We start from the raw sequence: 4,396 nt of genomic DNA, 5'->3' as shown, positions 1-4,396 counted from the left end.
GAATGAATGCTTATATTTTCTCAGTCCATTTCAAATTAATGTGGTGTGGAATGGTCAGAAGAGATTGTACTGATGGTTGTCCTCCTGTTCAATGAGTTCTGTTAAATGATCCCTGTAAGAGACATCCTTCATTCCTGGCTCACAAAAATTGAGTTTTGAGTAGCATTGTTTTTAGTGTACAGAATTCAACAGATGGTACCAAATAGCCAATATTTTAAACAACTTCCTGAGGGTAGATCTCCAGCTGAGCATCCCTATCACCCTCATTTTCATCTACTTTCACTGTGTTCATTCATTTTAAAATTATCGTGTGAGCAGCACTCACATTTCCCTAGAAGAAGATGTAACTGTGCATATTAGCAAATCTGGAGCTGAAGTATGAGTTTAATATTGGCCACTTTTTTTCTCGTGTTGTCTTTAAACAATGCCATTTTTAAAAATGATTGTTTTCCATTTTACATTCAAAGGGTGGCTACTTACTGTTTTGCAACTCAACTCAGCAAAGAAAAAATTGTAGGTAGTAATTTTTTTAAGCTATCAACTGAATCTCTGACAGACACCCTCATCTTTGTTGTCAGGTTGAAACATTCTGTTCTTGAACAGAGGAAAAACACTCTTCACACAGTGCTTACGAGTTTCTGAAGTCTTTATTGGTACTCTGCACACCTTCACACCTCCGTGAGAAGAAAACAGTAGATTTATATTAGAAACTGTATTGAAAAATGTCTACTTCAAACACACTCAAAGGACTTTCCGGTTGTTTTATTGCTATGCCAGAATACCTTCATGTAACTGAAGTAACTTGGACTAAGCAAGGTAGATACTTTTCTAAATTTGTGGGAGGCTACCTTGAAAAAGATGATGGGAAAATAAATAGACTATATTCTGATGTTGTTATTCATGTTAGTGTTAGAGCTTTCATGGAGTAAGTTACTGCTAAGTAGGAGTAAATATCCAAGCAGCAATAAAAGATGAGCACCTTCCACATATCTGTAATTGTAATTCCACACCTACAATTCAAGTAGAAGGTCAATAGGACCAAATACACAGACATTCACTTTCTATATAAAATGTGTTGAAAAAAATCTAGTGAACAACATTTTGAGCCATATTAAGTAAAATGTTTAAAATAATAGTAAAGCTACAAGTAACTTTAAATAGGAAATGCTGATTTGAAAACTTATGGAAGGTATTAGTATTTATCAAAATTAATATGAATAATCAAATGTAGTTAAATATATTCAAACGGACCACCCCATTTGAAGACATGGGAAGAAGATAGCATTAGCAGGCTTTGCTTAGGTATGTGCCCATATTTCTTACTAAACTACTTGCCGGTATGAGAAGCAATGCTCTAAAGTAAGTACAGATAGTCTTATAAACACACGACCAAACATCACATACACACATCTAGTCTCCAACACATACATAAGGCACCATTCTTTAAAAAAACTAAATAAAATCAATTTTATTTGTGTATTACTATAGATCTGGGTCTGCAACACAAGAGGAGATATAGTGGGAAGGACTTAAGGGGCTGCTGACTATAGACCTGAGGTGTAAAGTTTCGATGATCTGAATCTATTGTGTTTGCTAAATAAAGAGAGAGCTTTATGTTGCAACTTAATACCATTCAAATCTTTCTACATTATCTCTGCCTCAAACGTTCTTTTTACTTAAAGAAAATACATGACAAATGTATCTGGCTAGGGATGTCTGCTGAACTCTTTCTATTTTATCTTTTGGAAGAGAGAAAAACGTTAACAGGCCAGGCCTGGGTCCAACAGTGAAGAACGAGAAGATTGTTCTTGGTGAGCATCTCCATCTGTTCCTAGATCAAGCTCCTAATCTTTCCCAGGCCTTTTCTCGTGCCAATGTACTGGATCAAGAGAATATTTCAGTAGCAGGAAGCAGAAATGATTCCAGGAGAGAGAAAGTAGGGCACATCGGTCATTTAAATGTTTAGGAAGTAAAGCTCAAGCAACAGAGAAATTATAAAGTTACCAAAAACCCATTCCAAGTAATAATAATAGCAAACGATTCCATATAGCTTATTACTTGCCAGGCAGCATTCCAACTGCTTTACATATATTAATTCATGTACTCAGGACTACCCTGTGATAGGGCTCTTATTGTAATCTCCGTCGTATGACCGAGAGAAGAAGCCGAGTAGTTAAATAACTAATACATAGAATGCATGGGAGAATTGAACCCAGGCAGTCTGGACAAGAGCTCTAGTCTTATATTGTGTTTTCTCCCACATTTAGAGGCCTAGTCAATATCAATGTAAGCATCACAATGAAGGAAAACATGACTACATAAAAAATTAACAACAAGGAGGCTGATTTCCTTTTGAGAGGAAAAAATTTTGAAAACCTGAAGAATTGAGAGCATAGAAAGAAACCCATGTAATCATGTAAGTACAGTGCCTGCCACAAAGTTAACACTATCTGTTCAATCCATACTGAAAGAAAAAATAAATGTTGAGACAGTATCTTTGAATGCAGTCACAGCTTTCTCTCTCATCTCCAACTATGATAATCTTACCCTGTAAGAACCAACTTTTCACAGCAATTCAGAGAACTGCACACTTGTATGTCTAGAGACTAGGGTATAGGGGAGCACAGAAACCACTTCCCAGTAGTTCTTTCCACTTATAGCCAATGTGAGAAAACCTTTTAAATGGTCAATTTTCAAGGCATGATACATCTAAGCACTGGCAGCCAGCCTGCAGATGTAACAAACTGCACGGCTCGTGCTCCTAGAAGGTCACGATAAATGAACAGAATGTAGAGGAGGAGTCAGCCCATAAAAGGGAAGAGAGTTTCACTATTGGGAAATTGAAACTTAAGTGGGGGAAGCGGATGGGGTAAACTTAGGTGACGTCTGGGAAGATTGTAACCCCATAGTATTTGACTAATGAGGAAGTAGGGGAGGGACTTGCATGCTAGGAGGTATATTACCTGCTGTGATTGCCCCGGGTGTGCCTGCCTACCAGACACCCGATCTTGCAAGACCACTATTAAGTCTCACTTTTGCTGTTCTTGGTGCCTCTAAGTCCATTCTTTGGGTTTGGATGGGTGAGCGTGTTTCTCACATCCATTAATATTCCTACTATATATAGTAGAACCTGCAATCTATAGATATTTCCCTGGGATCTCTAGATGTCCAGTACTTTCCTGTTATATTTGCTTTTCAAAACCATTCAATCTAGTGTCTACCACACCACTACCATGCACCCTGGCCTACTCTGGTGATGACAACAGAGTTTTGAATAAAACAGAATTCTACCCTTGCACCTTTTCTTCTACTGGGGAGATGCAGACGATTAAAGGAGGAGGGAAGGAAGGAAGGAAGGAAAGAAGGAAGAAAAGGAAGGAAGGAAGGGAGGGAGGGAGGGAGGGAGGGAGGGAGGGAGGGAAAAGGAGTGGGGAGGGGAGGGGAGGGGAGAAAGAGATTAAACTTTTGATGCCGGCAAGGTACTATGAATGAGATACTTCAGTTGATAGAGAGCATAAAGTGTTGGGAGACTGCTTTAGGCAGGCTGAAGACCTTCCCAAAGAGGTAATATTGAACTTCAGTCCTGACTTCCAGAGGCAGCCATCTAATGATCTTCAGGAAGAGACTTTCGACAAGTAGCAGCACTTGCAAAGGCCGTTTATATTGAGTAATGTTTTTAGATTCCCTAGCATATTTAGAAGACTTGCACTGATGGGAAATTTCTGACTAGAAAGTCCAGTCTTCTTAAGAAGTAATCTAGAAAACTGGCATTCTCAGCCTCCTCTACATCTAGATACAAGCAGGTGGCCAAGGCTTCACCAACCCCAGGCAAAAAGCACTTGAAACTTTGGCTCAGTACTGCTCACAATGTATACATGTATCAAAATACCACATAGTATCCCATTAATATATATTACAATTTATCAATTAAAAATAAAATTTACAAAAATAAGTGCTCAAGATAGCGCTGATCCTGGGACCATCATTTTTCATCCAGGTTTACGCCTAAATTGTCCAGCTTGGGGGACTGCATTAGTTGCCACGTGGAGTTTCTGCTATACAAGTAGCATTAGTACAGCCTCAGTAGCTGCTGGAGTTTGGTCCAATTCCTGGCAGCAGTGCCAATGGCAACATCAGTTATGATTTTCTCATTACGTCAGTTCTCTGTCACACATTTCAGTATTATTTTTCGAGGCTTAGATTCAATCCTATTTCTCCAGTTTTTCTGAGAATCTGTGAGCCAGTCATTTTCTGTTTAATTAACAAGAGTTAGATTCCACTGCTTATTATTAAAAACCCATAATGATAAAGGTTGGATGGGTTTCAGGAACAAAATCAATGTCAGTGTGGCTCCTGGTTTCTCTCGAGCCAGATTATCCAACCTAGTTCTGTCTTT

General features: G+C 38.6%; 1 long non-coding RNA gene across 1 annotated transcript; it reads left to right on the top strand.

Moving 5' to 3' along the window:
* The first annotated feature begins 583 nt into the window (after positions 1 to 583).
* LOC105374461 (uncharacterized) lies at positions 584 to 2,505 on the top strand. Its single transcript, XR_001739187.1, has 3 exons — positions 584 to 816; positions 1,750 to 1,811; positions 2,268 to 2,505. It is a non-coding gene; the product is annotated as an uncharacterized LOC105374461 (long non-coding RNA).
* The last annotated feature ends 1,891 nt before the right edge of the window (positions 2,506 to 4,396 follow it).

This window comes from Homo sapiens, chromosome 2 (assembly GCF_000001405.40).
Source record: "Homo sapiens chromosome 2, GRCh38.p14 Primary Assembly".
Taxonomy (NCBI): domain Eukaryota; kingdom Metazoa; phylum Chordata; class Mammalia; order Primates; family Hominidae; genus Homo; species Homo sapiens.
This window is presented reverse-complemented; position numbering and strand designations above follow the sequence as displayed.